Source organism: Homo sapiens, chromosome 5, assembly GCF_000001405.40.
Source record: "Homo sapiens chromosome 5, GRCh38.p14 Primary Assembly".
NCBI lineage: Eukaryota > Metazoa > Chordata > Mammalia > Primates > Hominidae > Homo > Homo sapiens.
The window spans coordinates 114,965,604-114,970,622 of NC_000005.10; positions in this window are offsets into that span (position 1 = coordinate 114,965,604).

Below are 5,019 nucleotides of genomic sequence, written 5' to 3' on the forward strand. Positions count from 1 at the left end.
ACAGGCACCTGCCACCATGTCTGGCTAATTTTTGTATTTTTAGTAGAGATGGAGTTTTTCCATATTGGCCAGGCTGGTCTCAAACTCTTGACCTTGTGATCCGCCCACCTCAGCCTCCCAAAGTGCTGGGATTACAGGCGTGAGCCACTGTGCCCGGCCAGAGTTGGTTTTTTGAAAAAAAAAAAAAATTCAACAAATCCTTAGCTAGACTAAGAAAAAAAAGAGAACTCAAATAAAATCAAAAATAAAAGTGAAGAAATTAAAACATATGCCTCAGAAGTAAAAAGCATCATAAGAGACTATTATGAACAATTATATGCCAACAAACTGAATAACCTAAAGGAAGTTGATAAATTCCTAGAATAATGCAACCTTTTGAATAAGGAAGAAAAATAAAGTCGGAACAGTTCAATAACAAAAGAGACTGAAGAAGTGATCAAAAACCTTTCAAAACAAAAAAAGCCCAGGACCACTTGGTTTCATGGCTAAATTCTATCAAACATTCAAAGAATTAAAACAAGTTCTTAAACTCTTCCAAAAAATAGAGCTAGAGTGAACATTTTTAAACACATTTTATGAAATCAACATCACCTTGATATCTGAACCAAACACATCACAAGAAAAGAAAACTACAGGCCAAACTCTTTGATGAACACTGATGCAAAAAATCCTCAGTAAAATACTGGCAAATTGAATCCAGTAACACATCAAAAAGATTATACATCATGACCACATTGGATTTATCCCTGGCATGCAAGTCTGGTTTAATGTATGCAAATCAATCAATATGATACATCACTTTAACAAAATGAAAGATAAAAACCACATGATCATCTTACTTACATTAAAGAAAAAAGCATTCTATGAAGTCCCACATCCCTTCTTGATTAAAAATTCTCAGCAGTTTAGGAATAGAAAGAAACTTCCTCACCATAATAAAGGACATTTGTGAAAAACCCATGATGAACATCATAATCAATGAGGAAAAACTGAAAGCTTCTCCACTTAAATCTCATGCCAGGCAAGAATGCCCACTCTCACCACTTCTATTTGACATAGTACTGGAAGTACCAGCAGGAGCAATCACATAAGAAAAGGAAATAAAAGGCATCTGAGTCAGAAAAGTAGGAGGATATCTCTATTTGCAGATGACATGATCCTATACATAAAGAAAAAAAAAGATTCCACAAAAAATGTGTTAGAACTATTAAGTGAATTTATTAAATAGTAGTGTATAAAATCAATGTGCAAACATCAGTAGCATTTTTATACACAAATAACCTACTTGATAAAGAAAACAATCACTTTTATGATAGTATCAAAAAAACACAAAAAAACTTAGAAATAAATTTAATCAAGGAGGTAAAAGAACTGTACATAGAAATCTTTATGGAAAAAAGATTGAAGAGACAAATAAATGGAAATATATCCTGTATTCACGAAGCCAAAGAATTAATCTTGTTAAAATGTCCAAACTACCCAAAGCAATATACAGATTCAATGCAATCCCTATCAAAATTCAAAAATAATTCTGAGAAAGAAAAAGTTGGAGGCATCACACTTCCTGATTTTGAATTATATTACAAAGATATAGTAATCAAAAAAGTATGACACTGGCATAAACACAGACACATAGACAGGTGGAATAAAATAGAGAACCCAGAAATAAATCCACACATATATGGTCAACTGATTTTTGACAAGGGCATCTAGAGGATCCAACGGGGAAAAGATAGTCTCTTCAATAAATAATGCTGATAAAACTTGATTTCCAAACACCAAAGAATGAAATTGGACTCTTATCTTATACCATACCCAGAAATCAACTAAAAAATGGGTAAGACCTAAATATAAGATCAGAAACTAGAAAACTTCTAGAAGAGAACATAAGGAGAATGCTTTTGGACATTGGTCTTGGCAATAACTTTTTAGATATCATACTGAAAGCTCAAGCCACAAAAGTAAAAATAAGTATGGGACCACACTAAACTAAAAAGCTTCTGCATCACAAAGGAAGCAATCAACAAAACAAAATGGAAGCCTACAGATTGGGAAAAAGTATTTGCAAACCATGTATCTGATAAGGGGTTAATATCCAAAATTTATAAAGATTTCATACAACTCAATGGTAGAAAAACAAATAACATGATTAAAAATGGGCAAAAGACCTGAACAGACTTTTCTCCAAAGAAGACATCAAAATGGTCAACAGATACAAGGAAAAGGTGCTGAACATCATTAATTATCAGGAAGATGGAAATCAAAACCATTATGAGTACCATCTCATACCCATTAGGATGGGTATTATCTAAAAGTTAAAAAGTAACAAATATTGACAAAGGTGTGGAGAAAAGAAAACTCTTGTACACTGTTGGTGGAAATGTAGATTGGTACAGCCATTATAGAAAACAATATATAGGTTTCTAAAGAAATTAAACATAGAACTAGCATATGACCCAGCAATCCCTCTTCTAAGCATATACCCAAAGGAAATGAAATCACCACCTCATAAAGATACTGTCCATCATCATTCACAGTAGACAAGTTGTGAAACAACCCAAGTGTCTGTCAATGGATAAGTGGATAATCCATGGTATATGTATACATGCACTAAAATATTATTCAGTCCTAAAAAAAAAATGAGATCTTGCCATTTGCCACAACATAGATGAGCCTGGAAGACATTATGCTAAATGAAATAATCCAGACACAGAATGAAAAATATTACATAATTTCACTTAAACATGAAATCTAAAAAAAAATGTTTTCAAATATACAGAGATAGAGAACAAAACAGTGGTTGTCAGGGGACGGTGGGGAGATGTAGGTCAGAAGACACAAAGTAGATAATATGCATTGCCAGGCATAGCTGTAATCCCAGCTACTCAGGAGGTTGAAGAGGGAGGATCACGTGAAACCAGAAGTTTGAGACCAGGCTGGGCAATAAAGCAAGTTTTCTTCTCTAGGGAAAACATTGGGCATGGCTTTAGTGAGCTATGCCAGCCTGGGTGACCCCATCTGAAAAAGTGAGACCCCATCTGAAAAAATAGTGGTTAATATGTAGGATGAGCAAGCCTAAAAATATAATGTATGATATAAAGACTACAGGTAATAAAATTGTTCTGTATTTTGAATTCATGCAAAATGAGTAGATTTTAGTTGCTCTTGCCACAAAAAAAAATGGGTAACTATGTGAGACTATATATATATATTTCAGTGCAGGAGTGAAATTCTATTAAAAAGCTTTAGAACAGTAAGGAAAGGAAAGAAAAGAAGGAAAGTACAACTTGGAAGAGGGCCAAACAGGTGACTTGAGAAATCAAGTGCACCAACAATAAATATATTAATGTGCTTCACTATAGTAACTTTTTGCTATCTGTATGTATCCTATAACATCATGTTGTATACCTAAACATACAAAATAAAATTTATTTTTAAAAGAGAATTTTTAAAAGGTAAATGCCTATGTAACTTTGCTACCTATTGCTAAATTCCATCCGAAAGTAATTTACTAGTTTTAATTTCCACCATTAATGTATGAAAGTGGCTGTTTTCCCCACAACCTCACCAAAATAATTTGTAGTAATATTGTTTTTAATTTGTATCAATATGATAGGTGAGAAATGGTATCACATGTGGTTTTATCTTGCATTTCTGTAATTATGAGTGAGGTTGAAGAGTCTTTTTATATCAAAAGGTGATTTTAATGTCTTTTTTTCTTTTTGTCTCTTCATGTCATCTCATTTTCCTGTCAGGTCTTCCTATTTTATGCTCTCAATATCTTAGAGTCCTATATCTAATAGAGATATTACCCTTTACCTACAATATATGTGGAAATATTTTTCTGCCAGTTTGTCATTTGCCTTTTGCCTTGTGGTTCCTTTTGATAGATAAATTTTTATATAGTAAAATTTATCAATCTTTTATAGCCTCTGGATTTTGAACCATAGTTAGAAAACCTTTTCTTTTACTCAGGTAATAGAAAAATTCACCCATTTTTCTTCTACTGCTTGGTTGGCTTCATTTTTATGTTTAAAACCTACATACATTTGGAGTTCAATCTTGTGTGTGGTGTGAGAAAATGACGTAATTTTATCTTTTTCCAAATCAGTGAACAGGTTTTTTTTCAACACTATTTATTTAAAAGTACATCTTTTACCTAGTAATTTCAGATGTCACCTTTATCATGCATACAATTTCCAGATGTACTTGATGCTTTTCCTGAACTTGTTATTTTACATGACTAGCTTGCTTGTTTACTTATGTACCAGTGTACTTATGTACACCGTTTTATTGCAGAGGCTTTATGTTTTAATGTTAGATAAAACATTAGTTCCCTTCATGTTTGGTTGTGGGGCTTTTTGGGTTTGTTTGGTTTTGTTTTGCCACTTTCCTAGATATTCTTGCATGTTTGTCTTTCCAATTGATCTTTAGAATCAACCTGCCAAGCCTCGTAGGAAAACTTACTGGTGTTTCTGTAGAAATTTCATGAATGGGCCAGGCGCGGTGGCTCACGCCTAAGATCCTGGCACTTTGGGAGGCTGAGGCGGGTAGATCACAAGGTCTAGAGATTGAGACCATCCTGGCCAATATGGTGAAACCCCGTCTCCACTAAAAATACAAAAATTAGCCAGGCGTGGTGTCAGGTGCCTGTAATCCCAGCTACTCGGGAGACTGAGGTAGGAGAATTGCTTGAACCCGGGAGGCAGAGGTTGCAGAGAGCCAAGATCGCGCCATTGCACTCCAGCCTGGGCGATAAAGGCGAAACTCAGTCTCACAAAAAATAAAAAAAGAAAAAGGAAAAAAAAAAAAAGAAATTTCATGAATGAATTTAGAGAGTCATCCTATCAAAAATAAGGCATGTCTTTCCAGATGCTCAAGGATCCTTTTGAGCCTTCCATGAGTATGTTAAAGTTTCCTCAAATAAGATTTGCACATTTCTTGCTAAGATATTTCTAGATATTTAGTCTTCTTTGCCACTATAATATGTTGGGTTTTTTCTACCTTCCTATCCTCTAA